Source organism: Homo sapiens, chromosome 17 (assembly GCF_000001405.40).
Source record: "Homo sapiens chromosome 17, GRCh38.p14 Primary Assembly".
In the NCBI taxonomy this organism is placed as follows: domain Eukaryota; kingdom Metazoa; phylum Chordata; class Mammalia; order Primates; family Hominidae; genus Homo; species Homo sapiens.
This window is the reverse complement of record NC_000017.11, coordinates 8499508-8522644: the sequence shown is the minus strand read 5'-3', so window position 1 is coordinate 8522644 and position 23137 is coordinate 8499508. Positions and strand designations below refer to the sequence as shown.

At 44.1% G+C, this 23137-nt stretch overlaps 1 protein-coding gene, 1 long non-coding RNA gene and 1 pseudogene across 6 annotated transcripts in view, besides 1 other annotated feature; 1 reads left to right on the top strand and 2 right to left on the bottom strand.

Annotated features, from left to right (window-relative positions):
- MYH10 (myosin heavy chain 10) overlaps nucleotides 1-23137 on the top strand; it is a 156514-nt gene that overhangs the window by 108081 nt on the left and 25296 nt on the right. For all 4 annotated transcript variants that reach the window (NM_001375266.1, NM_005964.5, NM_001256095.2 and 1 more), the window contains 12 exons: nucleotides 1360-1553; nucleotides 1646-1767; nucleotides 3695-3764; nucleotides 3854-4014; nucleotides 8751-8859; nucleotides 8976-9107; nucleotides 9988-10194; nucleotides 12696-12833; nucleotides 13968-14091; nucleotides 16156-16327; nucleotides 17739-17951; nucleotides 21675-21819. In NM_001375266.1, the coding sequence (NP_001362195.1) occupies nucleotides 1360-1553; nucleotides 1646-1767; nucleotides 3695-3764; nucleotides 3854-4014; nucleotides 8751-8859; nucleotides 8976-9107; nucleotides 9988-10194; nucleotides 12696-12833; nucleotides 13968-14091; nucleotides 16156-16327; nucleotides 17739-17951; nucleotides 21675-21819 (1787 nt within the window). The remainder of the gene's footprint in view (nucleotides 1-1359; nucleotides 1554-1645; nucleotides 1768-3694; nucleotides 3765-3853; nucleotides 4015-8750; nucleotides 8860-8975; nucleotides 9108-9987; nucleotides 10195-12695; nucleotides 12834-13967; nucleotides 14092-16155; nucleotides 16328-17738; nucleotides 17952-21674; nucleotides 21820-23137) is intronic.
- Nucleotides 8222-9421: an enhancer, noted in NCBI's record as "BRD4-independent group 4 enhancer chr17:8416542-8417741 (GRCh37/hg19 assembly coordinates)". NCBI's record gives its function as "activates an origin of replication core promoter dependent on BRD2, P300/CBP, MED14 and CDK7 cofactors, and independent of BRD4, by STARR-seq in HCT116 cells {active_cell/tissue: HCT116}" and the evidence as "EXISTENCE:reporter gene assay evidence [ECO:0000049][PMID:35650434]".
- Nucleotides 8811-17741, bottom strand: LOC102724262 (uncharacterized). 2 transcript variants are annotated; one of them, XR_934210.3, is made up of 5 exons: nucleotides 17275-17741; nucleotides 15506-16454; nucleotides 13557-13894; nucleotides 9334-9425; nucleotides 8811-8933 (listed from the first exon to the last, which is right to left on the bottom strand). It is a non-coding gene; the product is annotated as an uncharacterized LOC102724262 (long non-coding RNA). The 2 variants fall into 2 exon arrangements; XR_001752779.2 differs by lacking the exons at nucleotides 9334-9425; nucleotides 17275-17741 and having other exon boundaries at nucleotides 15506-16156.
- On the bottom strand, nucleotides 11460-11519 carry RNU7-43P (RNA, U7 small nuclear 43 pseudogene; annotated as a pseudogene).

Genomic DNA, 23137 nt, shown 5'->3' with positions numbered 1-23137 from the left:
AAGATCAGTATTTTATGGGGCCTGCAGAAGTGGGTTTGTGCCGCTTTCTGCTGGGGCAAGTGAAGAGGGAGAGGTTGAAGGCACAGGAAAGAATGGTGGTCTCTGAGGTAGACAGTCTCCAATGCACAAGCAAAAGAGGTAGCTCTGACCCACACCCTTGAATCTGGTAGCTTTGCTTGGAAGCAGTTGTAGTGTAGTGTGCCTGCATGGGCCTGGAAATTAAACAGCTTTTACCCGCCCTTCTCCCAGCTTCCACTGAAGACCTGCATAACTTGAGCAGTTCACTTTTACCTCCCGGGGTCTTGGTTCTCTTGTGTTAAAAACCTCATTGGAAATTGATAATTGAATGAGATCTTGCACATAAAGCTCTTCATACAGTGTCAGGTCCCCATATGCTTCTGTCAAAGGAAACAAATGAAAGAAATGAGGTGTCCATTAGGGTTGAGGAGGGCATTAAAAAGGGCAGTTCAGTTGATAATTCTGATTGATTTTAAAGTATTTGAGTAATGTGTTTCATTCATTTAACTTCTTTTCAATAAGAGGATATGTACATTATGCACCAAATGTTTTGCTTGTGGCTGGTGTACTGTTTATGGTCTCATCATTAGAAGTACTAGGTCTTTGTGGATAATGTAAAACTATCGGTTGCTGTAACAAGGGAATGTCTGACAAGTTTAGCCATTGAACACCTAGGAAGCTTAGTCATTTATCTTTTCAGAAGAGTCCTTCCTATTTTGTGTTCTTGCCCTTTAGTAAGTGTTATTCATGTTTTGAGAAGAGAACTGAAGCTTACACATTGCTAAAAATCTGAACTCCTGTAATCTAATCTTCCTGCATTTGTTCCTAAAACTTGAATGACTTTTCTCACTGAATATCTAATGACTAATAAGAGAGAATTCTGGTCCCTAGTCCCTGAGGTTATTTGTTAAGTGGATTTGTACAATCAGATATTCTTATATATATTTTTATGAGCCATTTCCTATTTGGAGGCCTTTCACAGTATCAGTTTGTATGTATCAATAATGCCAGCCAATGAGTTTTCATTTTCCAAATAATTGTAAATGTAACAGTCAGAATGTTATCCAAGACAGTGAATTCCTGAAACTAGCGCAGCGGAAGGCATCTGCTGGTGTGTGTTGGTGTGGAGCTGTCAAAGCACTACAGTATCCTGCCATATAAGTGTGTGGCTGTTAGTTCCCGGCTTGTGCAGTGCCTAAGTATGCTGACTGCCTTACCTATATGGCATCTCCTGTCATTTGTTCCACAAAGCTTGTGCTGCTGCACTTTCACTGTGTCTTTTCTTTCCCTGCTAACGAGTGAGGTTTGGCTTATATTTGTTTTCTCCTTTCTTCTCCCCAGTGGACCGTATCGTGGGTCTGGATCAAGTCACTGGTATGACTGAGACAGCTTTTGGCTCCGCATATAAAACCAAGAAGGGCATGTTTCGTACCGTTGGGCAACTCTACAAAGAATCTCTCACCAAGCTGATGGCAACTCTCCGAAACACCAACCCTAACTTTGTTCGTTGTATCATTCCAAATCACGAGAAGAGGGTACGTGCTGAGCAAAACATATGCTAGTATTTAAAACTGATCTAGGTCAGATGCTAAAGATTAAACCATGAAACTATTGTTTGCTTGATTAGGCTGGAAAATTGGATCCACACCTAGTCCTAGATCAGCTTCGCTGTAACGGTGTCCTGGAAGGGATCCGAATCTGTCGCCAGGGCTTCCCTAACCGAATAGTTTTCCAGGAATTCAGACAGAGGTATTGCTAACTTTTACTTTTTTTGCTTATGTATCAGAGTTTATCTTGATATGAATTAAAACAGTGATAAAATAAGGAAATCTTTTTCCTTGTCCCCTACATAGTTTGTTTTCTTATATAGCAAACATATAGTGAGGTTCTGGAAAAGGGACAATCCTTACTACCTTGATTATTGGTAGGAAGATTGAGTGCCTACTTTATAAAAAGGGAGTGTGCTAGGAACTGCTATGGGCGCTGCAAAGAAACATGCCATGTTTTCAGGGCCCTGAAGTTAGCTTTGAGATAAACATAGAAAGCTGAAAGCTTACAGTTTACTCATTCAGACAGTTCTACCTGGGATTCAAACATAATTATTTTTATTTTTATTTATTTATTATTTTTGAGATGGAGTCTTCGCTCTGTCACCCAGGCTGGAGTACAGTGGAGCCATCTCGGCTCACTGCAACCTCCGCCTCCCAGGTTCAAGCGATTCTCCTGCCTCAGCCTCCTGAGTTGCTGGGACTACAGGCACGTGCCACCATGCCCAGCTAAATTTTTGTATTTTTAGTAGAGACGGGGTTTCACTGAGCTAGCCAGGATGGTCTCGATCTCCTGACCTCGTGATCCCGCCTCGGCCTCCCAAAGTGCTGGGATTACAGGCCTAACATAATTATTTTTAAAATTGATTTTTTAAATAGATGAGTAATGTATGTTCCTTTTAGGAAAATTGGAAAATACAAGAGAAGTAAAAAAGTAAATAAAAATCATCAAGGAGTGATTCCTAAAAACATGTTGGGGTACTTCTTTCCATCTTTTCTCAATGAATATATCTGTATGTGTGTGTGTATGTGTATGTATTTTTTCCAATGTATGTGTATACATGTGCACACACATGCGTGCAATTACAGTCTTTTAGCTAACATAGGGAAAGGAGTAGATAGAAAAGGATTAAGAAAAAACAAAAGGGAAAAGATCTATCAACTTGCAGTGGAAATGGATACAAACATATGTTGAGAGTTATTTTTAACTTTTATTTGGTAATTTTCTTGAATAGTTACTTTTAGTTTGCTTTTTTTCTTCTTTTTTCTGGAAATCAGATTTGAAAGTATGACACCATTTGCTGTTCCATGAAATAAATGGTGCTGCCAGGTCAAAGAATGGTCTTTGTGCCCTTTCTCCCACTGTTCCAGATAGAATCACCTTGAGAAGCTTTTCCAGTCCATGTGTGTCTTGAGGAAAGCCATCATTCTGATCCCATTGTATGATGAAGTCTGGTAGATTTTCATTTTTTATTGTTAGGAGAAAAAGGGAGTATAATTGGCATCCAAGATACAAAGTTGATTGATGTAGCCAGGATTCCTCCTTTAATATATAGCCAGTATCTTTTATTTTTCTGATTGAGGTATAGACTGTATACAGTGAGGTACACAGATTTTAAATGTGCAGCTCAGTGAACATATGTATGTGTATACACCCAGACCAACGTCATGTCACATGTCACCCTGATATTTTCTGATGTTTTGAATAGAAGCCTATGAACACAGCTCTTACAGCCCTTCCTGTTATCTAATAAATGCTACAAATTGACAGTGACTTAAAGTACAGAAAGCCAGATTCTCTTTTGCGTCTTAAGGATATGAACATTTTATGGGACATGAAGAAAAATGAAAGGTTTCTAAAACACCATGCTTTTGATTTTTCTCTGCCACAACCTCCTAAACCTACTTTTTGACCTGAAAGAACTAACCTCATTTTTACTTATGAGAAATAAAGTAGATCTACAGAAAACATCAGATTATCACCAGTTCATTTCTTGAACATGTATTACATCATATCTTTAACATGTATTACCCAACATTTTATTGCCTCTTAGAGCAAAACACACAGTTAGTAGATACACATCGTTCACAAATTTCTACAAAATACTTCTTGGAATATTCTCTTACAGATATGAGATCCTAACTCCAAATGCTATTCCTAAAGGTTTTATGGATGGTAAACAGGCCTGTGAACGAATGGTAAGGTTTTCTTGATCTTTTTCTGGCTTGTAGATTTAATCTAATCTTTCTTGTAGTTAAAAAAAGTAAATAAACTCTTTCTCTCTTAGATCCGGGCTTTAGAATTGGACCCAAACTTGTACAGAATTGGACAGAGCAAGATATTTTTCAGAGCTGGAGTTCTGGCACACTTAGAGGAAGAAAGAGATTTAAAAATCACCGATATCATTATCTTCTTCCAGGCCGTTTGCAGAGGTTACCTGGCCAGAAAGTGAGTGGGTATTCACGAATTAATCGTTCACTGAGGAAGTGCTTGTGCTAGATAAGCATTGCATTTTGACCTGGGGTGCAAGAGTGTGTGAGACATAGTCTGTCCTTACAGAAGTTGCTTTATAGTGGCAGAGATAGTCAGGTAAATACATGAACATTCTAAGTAATGGGATGTTGCAATACAAAAACACACAAGGAGGCTGGGCGTGGTGGCTCAGGCCTGTAATCCCAGCACTTTGGGAGGCTGAAGTGGGCAGATCACTTGAGCTCAGGAGTTCGAGACCAGCCAGGGCTTCATGGCAAAACCCCATCTCTACTAAAAATACAAAAATTAGCCAGGCTTGGTAGCATGCGCCTGTAGTCCCAGCTACCTGTGGGAGCTGAGGCGGGAGGATCTCTTGAACCCAGGAGGTCAAGGCTGCAATAAGCCAAGATGGTACCACTGCATGCCAGCCTGGGTGACAAAGTGAGACCCTATCTCAAACACACACACACACACACACACACACACACACACACACACACACGGGGCCAAGGGGTATGGGGTCCTGCCTCAGCTCAAGTCCTCAGAGAATGCTTCTCACACACACACACACACACACACACGGGGCCAAGGGGTATGGGGTCCTGCTTCAGCTCAAGTCCTCAGAGAATGCTTCTCTGAGGCTGAAACCTCAAGGGTAAGAAGGCTGGCCCTGTGAAGGGAGGAGAGAGAAGCTTTTCAGTAAGGGAACTACAGCAGCATCCTGGCAAGAGTCTGGCAGCATTTGAGAAGGTGACACAGTCCAGTGTGGCTGGAGCAGGATGGGTGAGAGGGAGCAAGGTGAGAGAAGAGGCTTGAGAATCAGACGCTGGACAGGGGTTAGGAGTGCAGTGAGGGGGAATCTATACTGTCAAGGCCGCCTGGCTGCGGTAGGCAGAATCCATTGAGAATTGGCCAAGAATAGAATTGGGAGGGCCAGTTGGGAAGCTGTCTTAGTGATTTGGGTAGAAGATGATGGTGCCTGGACCCAAGAAGGTGGTGGTGGAGAACGAGAGAAAAGTTGTTAAATTTGAGATAGAATTCAAAGGACTTAGAACTGATTTGGATTTAGAAGGTAATACTGGTATTTACTTCTTTCTACTGAACACTTCGGGTTTGGGAGTGAGAGAATTTGAGACAGGTTGAATAGTTTGCCATCCAGACAGTTTTGAGCAAACAGAATCTGAACACCTGGACTGGAAGTCAGCACTCTGTAATAATGTACTCTACATGTGGGTTGGAAAACAGCTCTGGTTCCTGGGCAGTCTGCTTGCCCAGATAGTGGTCAAGAGGGCTTTAAACGGAAGAAGGTAAAGGCAATACTTGTGGATTTTTGCCTATAAAATAGAATACAGAGTAAAAAGAGTAGCATGGAAAGTTGAAGACAAATAGATGATATCTTCGGGTTGATACTAAGAAACATTTGGCAAAAAGGAGTAAAAGAATTGGGTTTTTATTTTATTTTTTTTGAGACAGAGTCTCGCTCTGTCGCTGAGGCTGGAGTGCAGTGGCGCGACCTCGGCTCACTGCAAGCTCCGCCTCCTGGGTTCATGCCATTCTCCTCCCTCAGCCTCCCGAGTAGCTGGGACTACAGGCGCCCGCCACCACACCCGGCTAATTTTTTGTATTTTTTTTAGTAGAGATGGGGTTTCGCCGTGTTAGCCAGGATGGTCTCGATCTCCTGACCTTGTGATCCACCCGCCTCAGCCTCCCAAAGTGCTGGGATTACAGGCGTGAGCCACTGTGCCCGGCCGGGTTTTTATATACTAATATTTAGATACTATATAAATAATAAAGAGAACCTGTTGATAGCAGAGACTCTCCTCACTGTATCCACTGAACTGCAGAATGCCTAACATAGCATAAGGAGTGAGCAATGGCAGGTGCCAGGCTAACTTCATAGAGTTAGCAAAAAACTTGACATCTGCCAGAAACATGCTACAACTATCGAAAGTGCAGGAAACGAAGTATATAGATATACTTTGTGCAGCTTTTTCATTGATCTAAACCTTGCTTGCAAAATTTTCAAGATAGAAAGTTAAAAACAAAGATATTTCACTTGCATTATTTCATCTTAAGGACTTAAAGCTAACAAATCCATGTAATCTTATATGTAAGCCAGCATGCCTTTGCCTTTGCAGCCCCTGCCCCTCAATATTTTATTCACACTATGCATATGGTAGGCTGGAACTTAAAATCAGGATACATCAAAAAAAGAAGATAACCTATTCAAAAGAACCAGATTGTACTGTGGAAAAAGGCAGAATAGTGCTTACAATAGTCAAAATAATAGGTATCTTTACAGAAATCCATGAACTTGAGCTTGAAGCACCCTGGAGGACATTGGGATAAGGATAAAAAGGGGGAAGGAGCTAAAGTGATTTTGAACACTTTTGAAGTCCACTTTCCAAACACTCGGAGATAGGTTGATGTCACAGCTCCCTCATGAAAACCTGGAGGACAGTGCCTGACACACAGGTGTAATAGAAATCAGCCGACCACTGCGGAGAAGGAAACCAGCTGCCTCATTCCACTAAACAAAGTGCCCGGCATGTTTCTGACTCATCATTTGACAGTTTTATCTCCCAGAGGGCCAAAGAAGCAACTAGGGCAGTAGTTTTTAATAAGAAGATTGGGTGAATTTGTACAGCATTCCTGAAGGAGATTGCAAGAATTGGAAGGTGGATGCTTAATAGATTCAAAAGTCATTTTTGAAACTTTTGTTTTTGTAGTAGAAACTCTTGGAATTAAGACTTGGCCAATCCCGGCCAGGCACGGTGGCTCACACCTGTAATTCCAGCACTTGTGGAGGCCGAGGCGGGGGGATCACTTGAGGTCAGGAGTTCAAGACCAGCCTGGCCAACATGGTGAAACCCTGTCTCTACTAAAAATACAAAAAATTAGCAAGGCATGGTGGTGCACACCTGTAGTCCCAGCTTCTCGGGAGGCTGAGGCATGAGAATCGCTTGAGCCCAAGAGGCAGAGGTTTCAGTGAGCCAAGATTGCACCACTGCACTCCAGCCTGGGCGACAGAGCAAGACTCTGTCTCAAAAAAAAAAAAAAAAAAAAAAAAAAAGACTTGGCTAATTCTTTTTGGCTGGTAGGAATAAGTTAGAAGGTTTTGTAAGGAGCAAGAATAAAATCAGTTATGAAGCAGTGGGTTCAGGGAAAATTCTAACCAGCAAGGAGGAATTCGTTGGCAGTATAGCAGTTGTGGGATTCTTGCAAGGAAATGTGACAGGTAGGTAATTTTTGCTCTAAAACAGCAACTGTCTGTCTTTTCTTAAGACACTCCCACTCCTGATACCGCTGTTTGCTGGAGTGAATGAATAATTCAAAATGTTTTTCTTATTTTTTCCATCGCCTTCAATTGCTTCTCTTTCCCAGGAGAGTCCTATAGCTACTCCTGCAAGCCGTTATAAAAGGACTCCAGAGAAACAATTACAGATTATTTCTAGGAAATACCCAGTTAATTTACTCAACAAACATCCTCAGGAGGCCTGGAGTCTGTCGGTCACTTGGTTGTGCCAACAAAAATGCCTGGGCCATGATCCCTGCTCCTGAGGAACTCAGAGTCTAGGTGGGAGCGCAGCCGTGTGAGTGGACTGTCGGAGTGGAGCATCAGCACTGTTAGCGGGGCCCAGGAGACTCGGAGGCCGTTCTGGTGCTCTGGAATGCAGGGATGAGATGTCCAGTAGTGGGTAGTCCCCAGAGGAGTGCAGCGTGCCAGGCACTTGGATTTGGCTGAGGAAAAGCCGCTAAGTTCTGAGTCTGGGAGTCCTTTGTCAAGATCTAAAATGCAGCTTCGGTAGCGTGGTGGGATAGAAAGCCGACTGCTGGAAGCCAGGAAGTCAGTAATAGGAACGTTTGCCTGTGGACCCTGAGAGTTTCATAAGGAGTAGAAAAATGTCAGTTGTCTGTCGAAGGAACCGCAAGGTAATGAGCTTCATTTGGGCCTGGGGGTTGTTTTTGGCAGGAGGGGGGTTGAGGGTTTCTGTGTTCCTGAAGGAGAGTGAGAAATTGAAAAATAGTAGAGTGAAGGCGAATGGGAACTGGGTCTCAGACCCTGCTGTGGGGCTGAGGAGGTGACAGGGTGTAGTGGGAAGCCCAGGTATGGTCACAAGGAGGTGAGGGCTCCACAGATCTAGAGTCATCTCCAGGCCCTGGAGGAGGCCGGGCCGTAAATGAGAGACATTGACAACCCCATTGTAGCTTTTGAGTGCTGCGCTCCATTGCGGCAAAGTGGAGGGAAGGAGGAGAAAAATTACCTTGGGGGTTGGGGAGAAATGTTTCTTCTGTGACATATCAAAAGGAAAACGAGAGTAGCTCCTAAAGGCACGATAAAGAGAGCAGCACAGAGAAAACGGGCCCTTCTGTCTACAGTCTTCATTGCCTCAGGAAAATCGGTTTCTTAGTGTGCGCAGTGTGGGTATATGGCTGAGTGGCAGCAGGAGAATGTGCAGGGCAGCGTCCCTGAAGAAAGTCAGTGCAGGAACTGGTGCCAGGGGCCTGAGGTGGGCTGAGCAGGCCAACAAGCCAGTGTGGCTTCGAGCGGCCAGAACGGCTTCCTTGTGCGTCTCACCCAGGACTTGATTGATGCAATCATTCCCTATCCTAGACAAAGAAGAACACGGGCCTTTAGAAAGGCTTCTTATGACAACAGCCATTCAAGCACTTTTTTCTTTACATCATAAGTTTTTCTTATTGTTCTTCAGGGCCTTTGCCAAGAAGCAGCAGCAACTAAGTGCCTTAAAGGTCTTGCAGCGGAACTGTGCCGCGTACCTGAAATTACGGCACTGGCAGTGGTGGCGAGTCTTCACAAAGGTGAGCTTGGCTCACTTCTTTCCAGATCCCTTTCAAATAGCAGAGTCTGATCAGGAAAAACCCATAGGAAAGAGCTGGAATGATAAAAAAAAAAAAACTGCTTAATTTTGTCATAGGTGAAGCCGCTTCTACAAGTGACTCGCCAGGAGGAAGAACTTCAGGCCAAAGATGAAGAGCTGTTGAAGGTGAAGGAGAAGCAGACGAAGGTGGAAGGAGAGCTGGAGGAGATGGAGCGGAAGCACCAGCAGGTGTGTGCAGTGACCTTGTAACTCACACTTGGCCCTGAATCCCTATGAGATCTTGCACTGGTAGCAACCCCGACACATTTCATTATGAATAGCTGTACCCACCATATCATCTTATTTTATGGGAGGCCTTTTCACTCATTTCCAAATTGTATATATTTTGCCAATAGAGTTAACAGATACATTCTGCCTTGCATTTTAGATTTGTAGAAGTTAAAATCAACCTTACCTCTTGCATCTTTGCTTTTGTTATTCTTGGTGTCAAGCATGTACTTAACACCTGTTTTCGATGAGGTTCCCGGTACTGTCACCTTCCTATGTCTGTTTATGAGGGGAAATAGAAAAATGGTCAAAGGACGAGATGCTTGAGTAGAGGTCACCACCTGAACTTCTCTAGCAGCAGTGGTCTTGAATGTGTGTCCCTCTTCTGGGAAGTTTTCTTCATGGACAAAGCTGAGGCTCAGGAGATGTTTGTTGTGGCAATAATAGAATTATAGTGTTCAAGGCCAAAAATATTAACAATAAAGGCCAAGGATATCACTTACTACCAAACAGGCATTAGTAATCACCATGAACTTTATGGCATTTGAATAATATTTTCACTCTCCTATTTATCTGTCCCTTGTAAATTACCTTCATAGATGAACTATCATGAATTTAATATGTATTATTCACAGTAACTTGAGACAACAGGAACAACCAAAATATTTTCATCTTGCTTATTTTGCTATAGACAAAAACGTATTTGAAAGTTCTTCCCGTGATGTTATATATTTTTATCTCCCAGTTTCTTTGATGTGCATTGACCATTGAAATCACGGCGAATATATACTGTGTACGTATGTAATAGGGGCAAATCACAGACACTTTATTGTGATTGCAGCTTTTAGAAGAGAAGAATATCCTTGCAGAACAACTACAAGCAGAGACTGAGCTCTTTGCTGAAGCAGAAGAGATGAGGGCAAGACTTGCTGCTAAAAAGCAGGAATTAGAAGAGATTCTACATGACTTGGAGTCTAGGGTTGAAGAAGAAGAAGAAAGAAACCAAATCCTCCAAAATGAAAAGAAAAAAATGCAAGCACATATTCAGGTATGTATAATAATTTTTACTTAGAAGCATATTTTGGATTTTCAAGTGGATCTGTTGAATAAACAGAAGTTATGTGTTTGGATTCTTAAGTCCACAGAGAAGCAAAAGGGTTCTGGGTTATGAGAAGCCACTCTTAGAAAGATGACCATCATTTGAAACACACCTATAATAGATTTTCTTTGAACAAAGATTTGTCATTTTGTATAGGAATCTTTTTTATGTTCTAAGTGGCATCTTACAGTTTGCAAAGAGATTCACAGTCGCAAACCTCCCAGGATCTATAGCATTCTGTAGAAGACCTAACTTGTTCTTCATGTTGTCAGTGATTCTGTTGCTCACTCCATTCATTAGATAGACATCTACTACGTGGTTTGGCTAATAAGAAACGCTCAGCACTGACATAGGAGGTGGCCAACAGTCAGAATGAGAATTTTTAAAAATTAGCCCTTCCCTGGTACTTAACTTTCTTTTTGAAATACAGGCTGTACTCATGAGGCACAATTTTTGGATTGTGATTGAAACAGACAAATGTGCTTTTTAAATGGTCTTTATATTTTAGAGGTACAGCCTGAAGGTTTTACAAGTGAAATATGATGTCTGGGATTTGCTTCAAAATAACCTAGGGGGAGAAGGGAGCAGGTGGAGGCACACATGAAATGGAATTGACCATGAGTTGATGCTTGTTAAGGTCAAGGTGATGCTTCTGTGTGGGGCTTATTATGCTGGTCTGTGTGCTTGTATGTGTGTTTGAAATTTTTACAAGAAAACACTCATTTTTTGCCATGGTTTCATTCTAAAATTAACGATGAGTAAATTATTTAGCCGAAGTTACTCTTGAACATTTCCTTAAGTTGGCCATGTGTTGATTTGTACAACCCTAGTTTTGGTTTTTTGGGGTTTGTTTTTGTTTTTGTTTTTTTGTTCTGTTTTTGAGACGGAGTCTCGCTTTGTTGCCCAGGCTGGAGTGCAATGGCGCAATCTCGGCTCACTGCAACCTCCACCTCCTCGGTTCAAGTGATTCCCTTGCCTCAGCCTCCCCAGTAGCTGGGATTACAGGCGCCTGCTACCACGCCCAGCTAATTTTTGTATTTTTAGTAGAGACGAGGTTTCACCACGTTGGCCAGGCTGGTCTCGAACTCTTGACCTCAGGTGATCCACCCACCTCGGCCTCCCAAAGTGCTAGGACTACAGGCGTGAGCCACTGCGCCCAGCCTGGGTTTTGTTTTGTTTAACTTTTTTTTTAATTTCGTTTTTTGGAGGGGATGGGAGCTTTCCACCAGAAACCAGAAATCCTGCTAGACAAATTCTAAAAGAGCTGTAACACTTTGTTTTTAATTTTAATTTTTATGCGTATATATTAAGTGTGTGTGTGTGTATGTATGTATGTGTGTATATATATATATATATATATATATATATATATATATATATATATGGGGTACATGAGATGTTTTGATACAGGCATGTAGTGTGTAATAATCACCTCATATAAAATGGGGTAATCTATCTGTGATCCTGTGTAATAGCATGTTTATCATAAACAGTAATGTAGATTATAAAGATCTGCACGTTCTAATAAAAATACATGTAAACTCTATGCTCCCGCCCAGTTTGATGAGGTGCTTCTGCTGTGAAAGGTACACTTGAACTGAGACAGCTCATTTCTCACGACCTGTACTATTTAAATTATTGTTTTCATGTTCTCTTTCTCTCTTCTTTGGCCGAACATGTATATAGTTGGATTCAGCTAAATTAAATACACATTTGATGAGTGCTACTACATTATTCATGTTTGTCTGTGTTGCTATTATTCCAAAATGTGAATTTTAATTACTATATATTATTCCATTTAACAAATGTGCCAACATTTAATTACCAAGACCTTTTTGTAGCATGTTCATAGTTACTCAATATTATAAATAACTTATCACTGTATGTCTTTTTATATAAATTGCATCTGTGACAATTTCCTGAAATTGCTGGTTGAAAGGAAAGGCTCATTTTTAAAGCTATGTTTTGCCATGTTGGCTTCTAGAAGGATTGACCCAGTTTGTACTTTAGCCTGTAGCGGATACAAATGTCTATTTCACATAACTGCATTTCATATTTTTTTAAATATCCTTGGCATTTTGAGAATCAAAAATTAGTATCTAGGCTGAGGCGGATGGATCATGAGGTCAGGAGATCAAGACCATCCTGGCTAACATGGTGAAACCCCATCTCTACCAAAAAAAAAATCAAAAAATTAGCCGGGCGTGGTGGCGGGCACCTGTAGTCCCAGCTACTCGGGAGGCTGAGGCAGGAGAATGGCGTGAACCCAGGAGGTGGAGGTTGCAGCGAGCCGAGGTGGCACCACTGCACTTCAGCCTGGGCAACAGAGCGAGACTCCGTGTCAAAAAAAAAAAAAAAATTAGTATCTCATTGTAATGCATTCCTGTGCACAATGAATGTGTGGTCAAATCTCGAGAAAGTGGCGAGACTGACTGTGTGTTCTTCACAAGGACCTGGAAGAACAGCTAGACGAGGAGGAAGGGGCTCGGCAAAAGCTGCAGCTGGAAAAGGTGACAGCAGAGGCCAAGATCAAGAAGATGGAAGAGGAGATTCTGCTTCTCGAGGACCAAAATTCCAAGTTCATCAAAGTAAGAGAGTGTTCCCACAAAAAGCTGATTTTAGTTACAGAAAATATTTATATAATATTATGTTGATACACTCATTGAAAGTGAACTCAAACAGAAATTTCTCAAGATTTTAGGTTCATTTACTGAATTTTCTCTGTAAGTCTCTACTTGTATAGATTTCTAAAGATACAGGCACCATTGAATTTTTTAAACCTTATCAAATATCCTGATAATCTTTTAGACTTGTAACATGTGCAGTTTGTGCATAATGGTCACTCAATGATGACTTGTCTCCATCTGTGCAAGCATTAATTCATCCACCATTGACTGTGGGACTCTGAATACCAGGCAGCTGGGCCAAGCTCCCGGGGTGGGCACCAAGACGTGTAAGCCTTTCTGCCCTTTTGGAGTACAGTCGTGTGTTGTTTAACGATGAGGACACATTCTGGGAAATGCATTGTGAAGTTATTTTATCCTCGTACAAACATCATAGAGTGTATGGACACAAACTAGATGGTAGAGCCTGCTATACACCTAGACCAGACGCTGGGCTGATTGCATCTAGGCCACACACTTGTACAGCATGTTACTGTCCTGAATACTGTAGGCAGTTGGAACACAGTGCTAATAAGTACTTGTGTATCTAAACATATCCACACAAAAGTCCAGTAAAAATATGATAGAAAAGGTACGGTAAAAATGATAGAAAAGATTTAAAATGGCACACCTCTATTGGGCACTCACCATGAACGGAGCTTGCAGGACTGGAAGCTGCTCTGGGTGAGTCAGTGAGTGAGCGCTGAGTGAATGTGAAGGCCTAGGACATTGCTGTACATGACTGCAGACTTTATCAACATGGCACACTGAGGCTGCAGTACATTTATTTTAAAAATAGAGTAATTGCACTGTGGTGTTATGACAGCTCTCGATGAAGTTTTCAGCTCCATGATCATCTTAGGAGACCACTGTCGTGTATCCGGTTCATCATTGTCCAAAACATCGTTCTGCAGCATGTGATTGTGTACAGTCTGCTGGGGGAGGCAGTGCCGATAGAACTTATTTTCTCTCGAGTCAAAGTTGACCTTTATGAGGAATACAGAACCCAAGTGGTCATTCTGAATGGCTTTTCTGAAGCAGTCAATTTTTCCTGTCCAGGAAAAGAAACTCATGGAAGATCGCATTGCTGAGTGTTCCTCTCAGCTGGCTGAAGAGGAAGAAAAGGCGAAAAACTTGGCCAAAATCAGGAATAAGCAAGAAGTGATGATCTCAGATTTAGAAGGTTAGTATTTGGGGCTAGAGAAATCAGGGACTAGGACATGTGAGTGTTTAGCTTTTACTGTAATCAGAACATGCAAAAATAAAAAATATACATGATGATTACTAATAATAAGGACCTTCAGTTTGGGTTGACTTATTAAAATAGGTCCCTTGGCTGGGCACGGTGTCTCAGGCCTGTAATCCTAGCACTTTGGGAGGCTGAGGCAGGAGGATCTCATGAGGCCAGGAGTTTAAGACCAGCCTGGGCAGCATAGTGAGACTCCATCTCTACAAAAAATTTACAAATTAGCCTGGCGTAGTGGTGCACATCTATAGTCCCAGCTACTTGGAAGCTGAGGCAGAAGGATTGCTTGCGCCCAGGAGCTCACCAGAGTGAGCTGTGATCGTGGGGTGACAGAGGCAGCAGAATTGCTTGTGCCCAGGAGCTCACTGTAGTGAGCTATGATCATGCAACCGCACTACAGCCTGGGTAACACAGCGAGACCCTGTATTTAAAACATAATAAAAAGGGCTCTTAAGATTATTTTGTGTTGCCTTGAAATGATGATAAAATGGTTTTCCTTTTTCTTTTTCTTTTTTTTTAAGATGGAGTTTCACTCTTGTTGCCCAGGCTGGAGTGCAGTGGCGCAATCTTGGCTCACTGCAACCTCCATCTCCCGCGTTCAAGCAATTCTCTTGCCTCAGCCTCCCAAGTAGCGGGGATTACAGGCATGCACCAACCACACCTGGCTAATTTTGTATTTTTAGTAGAGATGGGGTTTCACCATGTTGGTCAGGCTGGTCTCAAACTCCTGACCTTAGGTGATCCACCCACCTTGGCCTCCCAGAGTGCTGGGATTACAGGCGTGAGCCATGGCGCCAGGCCTGGTTTTCCTTTTTTAACTTTGGTACTGTGGTAAAAGATACTGTTCTTTGGTGGGCATGGTTGGGGTTATATTGTTTGGGTCCTACAGACCATTGTGTTTAATCTAAAGCTGTATTAAAGTGCCCACAAAGTACCTCACAAAGGGACTGGCCAGTGACATAAAAGCTGGCAGATACAGAGAAGACACTACTGAGGGCCAAGCCACAGTGTAATATCAGGAAATCCTAGGACATTACAGCTTCTGCAAAAGCAATAAGAAAAGAGGATGGAAGTTGGAAAGAGCAGCTAGAGACTGGTACCATCACCAGGGGGAGGGAGCTCTGTGCAGGCGCCTGCAGGCAGGTGCCCACTCTTGGTTAATGTGTGCGTTTATGATAGGAAGACGATGGGGTTGGCTTTTAAAAAATATTTGGGGTTTTATTTGTTTGTTTGTTTTAGTATAAACAAAAGAGGGCATGTCAGTATGAAATTACTTTCATAAACCATTTGTACTAGTATATGGTTCTTCTGCTGAGGAAGTACCCATAAGCACATGTGCTTTTTTACTCACCTGTTTGATCAGCCTGTGACACTCGGTCTCATCCTCTCAGCAAATTGGTTCCTGGTGGAGAACACAAAGGCATACAGGTTGTTGTGAGGAAATAAATCATTCAGTGAAATAGATCACTAGGGCTAACTGAGAGATCACTGCAGAATTTTAGAGGGGAGGGTGGAGAAAAGGCCTGGCCCTCTCTGCCCACTCTTCTGTCTCCTCTCTCCCAGTACTCGAGGATGGCAGTTTTCTTGGTTCAGAACAGGGGTTCCCATGGAAAAGGGAATGGGGTGACAGGCAGCTACGATTGCTGCCCCAGCACCTGCTGAGCCACTTTGCAAACCTGGGTACAGTGATGTGTTTGACATGAGAGGATTCCAGCTCCCTTCGGCTCTCACAGTGTGGTCTCACCTCCCATGAAAGGACATTCTTAGGACACTCAACTTCTTCCTTAAAATTCCCTCCCCACACTAATTTATCTCCCCTCCAGATCTCGGTGGGTTTGAAATGACTGAGCAGTTGACATCAGCGCATGACCATGTCATCAGGGCAGTGACATGCTTTTGAATAAAATGGCTTATTTTCAACTTGGATCAGTCTGTATTTTAGTTTATTCCTGTGGTGAGTCACTCGGTGTGTTGAAGAGCTTCTTATGTCTTACCTTAAAGAACGCTTAAAGAAGGAAGAAAAGACTCGTCAGGAACTGGAAAAGGCCAAAAGAAAACTCGACGGGGAGACGACCGACCTGCAGGACCAGATCGCAGAGCTGCAGGCGCAGATTGATGAGCTCAAGCTGCAGCTGGCCAAGAAGGAGGAGGAGCTGCAGGGCGCACTGGCCAGGTCTGCAGCCCAGCAGCTGCGCTGCACGGGAGCCCATGGGGCTGAGTTTCAGCAGACTTTGTTATGTTCGGGAGCATTCAAAAACCCTGGGAGAGTGAGATGGGGTTTGCTTGCTGTTTGGTGTGACCTGAGAAAGTGAAAAGCCCAGGCGTACAGAATTTGTGTCAGGACAGCAAGAAAGTCTCATAAACCATCTCAATATTTATACTTTAAAATGACAAATTATATTATGAAACCCTTGGAAATTCACACCAGAACAAATTATTTCACTATAACAAATGTTTTGGTCTCTGTACATTACAGATTAACTGTAGTATGTTTTATTTATTTTTTTTTTTTGAATGGAGTCTCACTCTGTCACCCAGGCTGGAGTGCAGTGGTGCAATCTCAGCTCACTGCAAACTCCACTTCCTGGGTTCAAGCAATTCTCGTGCCTCAGCCTCCCGACTAGCTGGGATTACACGTGTGCACCACCACACTGGCTAATTTTTGTATTTTTAGTAGAGATGGGGTTCCACCATGTTGGTCAGGCTGGTCCCAAACTCCTGACCCCAAGTGATCCACCTGACTTGGCCTCCCAAAGTGCTGGGATTACAGGCGTGAGCCACCTCACCCAGCCTGTAGTATGTTTTAGAACTTGAAGGGAAATCACTTTTCAAAAATTATATTTCTCCACTGAGAGCATGATTCAATAATCAGTTCTAAACCATTCAGTTTAGAATGCAAATCAGATGTAATAAATATATGTCTAATGTTTCATTTCTTTATAAAGAATAACTATTTGGCTACATGGTTGTAATACTTGGAGTTTATAATGTGTTACAATCAAAATCTTTCAAGAAAAATCTCCCTTACCTCAAACATCCCAACTATTCCCAATCAGAAAAATCTTCCAACATTTTAAACCACAGACATAAACAAAAAGATGCCCTATGGAAGAGAGGCACCTGGAGGGTATGAGGATGAGAGCCTCTTTCTTCTACTGTGTTCTTTGAGCATCCCTGGTTTGGCTGGGTTCCGGTGTGATGAGGAGGTCACTCCTTCATAGTTAGAAGCAGATTTTTAACTATAACAGCCTTTGACTTCAGAGAAAATGTTTTCATATTCTAAGGGCTAAAGTAAGAGTGTCCTACCTTTTAATGGAGAAGCATGGTCGTTTGGAAAGGGGGCTGGGGCTGGAATCTAGTTCTGGCTCTGCCACCATTAGCTTTGGGGCCTTCAGCAAGGCCTCTACCTGAGAACCTCCTCCTGCCCTAGCAGGTGCTGAGCATCTGCACCAGCCTCAGGCCCCAGGAGGAGGGATGTGGGGCTGGGGTCTCGTGGAGAGGTGCTCAGGGGCTGGGGCTCGCCTGAGAAACAGGCCATCCGGGTGCCATCTCTGAGTGCCTCTTGCGCCTGGGTGTTTTAACAGAGGTGATGATGAAACACTCCATAAGAACAATGCCCTTAAAGTTGTGCGAGAGCTACAAGCCCAAATTGCTGAACTTCAGGAAGACTTTGAATCCGAGAAGGCTTCACGGAACAAGGCCGAAAAGCAGAAAAGGGACTTGAGTGAGGAACTGGAAGCTCTGAAAACAGAGCTGGAGGACACGCTGGACACCACGGCAGCCCAGCAGGAACTACGGTGAGTGTGGGAGAGGAAGCAGGGCCCGGGCGCCTGCCGACCTCTCCACCGAGCCCGTGCAGAAATGCCTGGTGTGCTTGCTATCTTTGGGAGGTGGTGTGCTTTTCCTTGTGATGGCAGGTGGAACGGTGATTAAATGGTAATGGTTAGAAACAGACCAGCCTATGGGTAGAAATACCTGTGCAGGGGTGGGTGGGTAAACCAGCAGACTGAGGGACACAGAGGGAGATGGATGTGATCGGAAAAGCTGTGGTCAGTGATGGATATCTAGGGGGAGAGAGTGACAACTACACAGAGCAGGGGGCAGTGAAAAGAGATTTAGATAGATAGGACCAGAGGGAGAAGGGTAAACACAGGAATAGGAGGAGATACCCAGGAGGCCAGGCACACATGCTGGCAGTGCTAGGTGGTGTGAACGGTGTAGGTAACCAGCTGAAAAGGGAAGGGTGCCTTCACAAGGGTGAGAAGAAGGCTGGTGCACGCACTGGGACAGAGTGTGCAGTGGGCAGAGGCATATGCAGCATCATGAGCCAGCAGCCAGGGCGGGCATGAAAAAAGTGACGAGCATAGGTGAACATGGCCAGAGAAGGCTCCTGGGTAGAAAGCTGCAGTGTGGCAGCCCACGAGTCGCAGGAGAGCCTTAGCAGTGAGCCGGTACGCAGGCCTGGAGGTGCTGGCCTGCGGCTCCCACGGACTCATAGGTGTCATCACTGTGGAGAGCAGCATGGGGGGTGTGCCAGCTTGCTGTCCTGGCAGAGGCCATCTGCTCCCTCCCAGACTCACACTGCCAAGTGCCTCAGGGCCACCCCAGGAGTCCTAGCCAGAAGGGAACCCTCGTGCCTTGGCTGGCTGCAGGCACACCTGCTGGCTCTTCCAGGGTATGAATGATGGAAAGGATAGCCCATCACCCTGGGGAGTTGCTGAGGCCTGGAATAAAGCAAGAAGGAGAGAGGGAATTGTTTATGAATGCAAGTGTGGCCAGAGAGGCAGAAAATGACCCAGAGCAACCAGGAGGGAAACAGGTTGTGGTGAAAACCAGTGCGTTTCCCCAGAGGACAAGGATGTCATCAGCTGGGTCCACCCAGCAGCTGGAAACCTGGGCACTTGGTCGTGGAAAGAATGACATCATGGTGTCCACAGGGCAGGCCGGCTCGATAGAGCAGTGAGACTGAGGTCAGATGGTGGGTGTGGGGAGGCTCTCCGTGCTGGAGAACAGAGGGGTGAGCCTTGGAATGTTTGCCATGATCCTAGCCATGAATATGTACAGCTATGGCAGCCGGACAGAGGTTGGTTGGTTTTTGTCTTCAGCTTTTACCCAGAGAGAGGAAAAACCCCATCTGAGCCAGGCATGGTTCGAGGCTTCCTACCCCACTTTTTTATTTTATTTTATTTTTTATTTTATATTTTTTTGAGACGGAGTTTCGCTCTTGTTGCCCAGGCCGGAGCACGATGGTGCGATCTCGGCTCACTGCAACCTCCGCCTCCCGGGTTCAAACGATTTTCCTGCCTCAGCCTCCCGAGTAGCTGGGATTACAGGCATGTGCCACCACGCCCGGCTAATTTTGTATTTTTTGGTAGAGATGGGGTTTCTCCATGTTAGTCAGGCTGGTCGCAAACTCCCGACCTCAGGTGATCCGCCCGCCTTGGCCTCCCAAAGTGCTGGGATTACAGGCGTGAGCCACCGCGCCCAGCCCTTACCCCACTTCAGCAGAGTAACTGCTTTTAGTAGTTTAAGTCCTGGGCTTCTCTTTGACATATCTGCTTTTTTAAAATCTAGAAACCACTGAACTAGACTTGGCTGAACTCTCCACTCCCAGCTGGGCTTTTGACTGCAATAGAAAATAAGGTTCTGATCATTTTTCCATCCAACCCTTGCAAAAAACTAAATGCGCATATTTATTAAAACCATGCCTGTGCTCAGCTGTAGCACTCACTGATTCCGTTTTGCCTGCAGCTCAGACATGTCCTCCATTCTTGCTAAGGACCCTTAGAGAACACAAACCACCCCACCTGGGCCCTGGTTCTTCCCATGATTAGTATAAAGTAACAGTGAGTCTTCTGCAGACTCACTGGCATTTTCACTCTCTTAAGGACTTTTGATGAAAAACTGAAAGAAATGGGGTTGTTCAGCCTGGAGAAGAGAAGATGAAGGTTTCCTTTGACCACTGGATTTAAGTAGGGATGAGGAACACACACACACACACACACACACAACTATTTTCCCAAAAGACAACGTGCTGCTAGTAGGAGAGATTTCCCTGTAGTGAGCTGAAACAATCTCGATGGGAGCCTTGCAGAGGACAGGACCAGACCAGCACGTCTTTGACCTCTGGCTGAGCCAGTGGAACTTGGGGCTGAGCTAGGCTGGACCACAAAGAATCCTTAGTGATTCCTTCTGGCTGGGCTACATGCGACCATGGAGCTGGCAGCCACCAGGCCCTGTTCTCTTGGCACAGGGATCTCTCAGCCAGCCCCTGCAGATCTCGTGACTCCATGAGAAGAGAGGAAAAGAGAGGTGAAGAGAGGGATGATGTGTCCACACGGGAATCAGTGTGTAAATCACTGTTCTAAGTTGTGACATGTTATAAAGTATAGAGCAAGTTTGCTAGCAGTGTGCTTCAGGATTAGTGTGAGGTTGTAGCTAATTCAACAGTGCTAATATAGGTCTTAGCAGGAGTGCTGTTTACCTGACTGGCTTCAGTCTTCATCAAGCTCGTGCTTAAACACGGTGCTCAGATTAACAAATTTAGAGGGACTCGCCATGAGAAGTAAGATCTCTTTTAGACAGTGAATAACTCTGGTTATTCAAGTTACCCTGTATTTGTTACAGCCAATTTTAAAAATATTAGAAAGCCATGGAAAGATATTTAATGCTAATGTGATCTTCATACCGTAAAGTGCAGGTTAGATAAAACCACAGTTTATGTCAGAACATTCCAATTCTCTGGCCATAGACCTGCTGTGTTCTCATATCAAACATCAGAGACCCTTTCTGAACCCTTTGAGCTGCCTTTTAATTTTCCTGCCCCTCCAAAAGATAATGCCCTCCTCCCCAACCTTAAGCCATTTCCTGGTAGAATTTTGGGAGGATGTTAGTTAATTGCGGCTTCTTCACATGGACGCTAAGAGTCTTGCTTTGTTACACTGCAACGTCCTGATTCATTTGGCCTTTGTCACCCCTTCACTTTTGAAAATCTCTGGGAGACTCCCTTTTTCCAGTTTTATTCAAGTCTGTTGGGGCTATGGCAGGCAGTTTGGCATCTTGTGTTAACCAATTCCTGACCTCCGGTGAAACCAGACTACCCAGAACAATTTGAAGACCCCTAGGGATGTCACCCTGTGTCTTGATAAGCCAGACATGGCATGGAAGTTGCACTGGTTGTTTGTTTTTTTGGTTTTTTTTTAAAGATAGGGTCTCACTCGCCCAGGCTGGCGTGCAGTGGCGCAATCATAGCTCATTGTAGCCTCAACCTCCCAGGCTCAAGCGATCCACCTTAGCCTCCCAAATTGCCGGGGTTATAGGCATGAACCACTACTCAGCTCTCTAGGAGGATTTCTGATATCACAGTAATAGACCTGCCAGCCTACTGGAAATAGCACATCAAGTATTTATTAAGGGAATTTATGTAATATTTAAAACAAAAACAGTACTTTTTCAAAAAGAAAATGTGTTTTTAATCAGTCAGCTAATTCTGATCTCTCTTAAAAAATGTCCTTCTCTAGTACAAAACGTGAACAAGAAGTGGCAGAGCTGAAGAAAGCTCTTGAGGAGGAAACTAAGAACCATGAAGCTCAAATCCAGGACATGAGACAAAGACACGCAACAGCCCTGGAGGAGCTCTCAGAGCAGCTGGAACAGGCCAAGCGGGTAAGGGAGGCCCTGCCGTGTGCTGTGGCCTGGAGAAAGTCTGTCGTCAGAGCCACTCCCATCCTATCTGCCCGTTCTGTTCAGTCATGTATTGATTAGGCTCCAGCCTCTGTACGTCACTGAGTGGGCTGCTGGGTACCCAGTTGCCAAGACAGGAGCGGCTTTCAGAAAACACACTGTCTCCTTAGGAAGAAAAGCCAGATGCAAGTGCATGGATCCAGCCACCATCTCAAACCACACAGTCCTCCCCAGTGTCTCTTCTCACTAAACCCTTCTCCCAGTGGCTTCACTCAAAACCCCGAATGGTTTGAAAGTCATTCTTCCCTAACTTGTCTGCTGCCAGTAAGTCACACGTCCTGCCGATGTTCCCCTTCAGGGGTTCCTGACATTCATCTCTCCCTTCTTGTCCTTCCCTGCCTGTGATCTCACCTCAGCCACCAAACACAGTGTTGGCTTTCATTCATTGTTCCCGCTTCTGTATCTCAGACACAGGCTTTCCGTTCTCCTGAAACTTAATTTCATGTGCCCTGTGACTCACGCCACCCTCCTGTGCAGACTGGCCTCCATGACTTCCCATAATCATCCTTGCCTTTGTGACTTGGTTCTTGCTCCAGTTTCTCCATCTTTCTGTTCTTTGCCTAGCCACATGCCACCTTTTAATTTAGACAATGACAATATTAGCATTTACGGAACATTTATGTTTGTGTCAAGTACTGTGCTAAGTACCCTACACGAGTTGCCTTCCTTAATCTTTGCTACAACCCTGTGGCACAGTCTCCTATAATTCCCATTTAAAAGACAAGGAAACTGAGGTCCAGTGGTGTTAGGTAATTAAGCCAGGGTCACACAGCTGGTTCGTGGAAAGGCAGCTTGAAGCCAGACAGTCTGGCCCAGATTCCCATGTGACCACCTTACTACACCCAATCTTGTCCCTGAGGCAGGATGTCATTGGAGATACATCCTGTTGTGGCCACCCCTGCACCAAGGGTGCCTGCTCATGTTAGTAAGTGTAAAACAATTCTTTACACTAACAACACTTTTTTATACAGAGGACAGTGTGAGTGATGACTCTGCAGACAGGACACACCTGGCATGGACAAGGCTAATTACTTAGCACAGTGAGCCCCTAAATATCTGCATCTGCTCCTCGGAGCAGTGTGTACGCGTGTGTTCCTTACGTAGAAATCCTCACACTCAGAGAACAGCAAACATTTTCATTCATTCATTCAACAGATGTTGACTACAGACTCACTGTGTGTTAGGCACAATTCTGCAGACTCAAAAAGCAGTCCTCTGTATGGAGTTTTAGAAAATAACT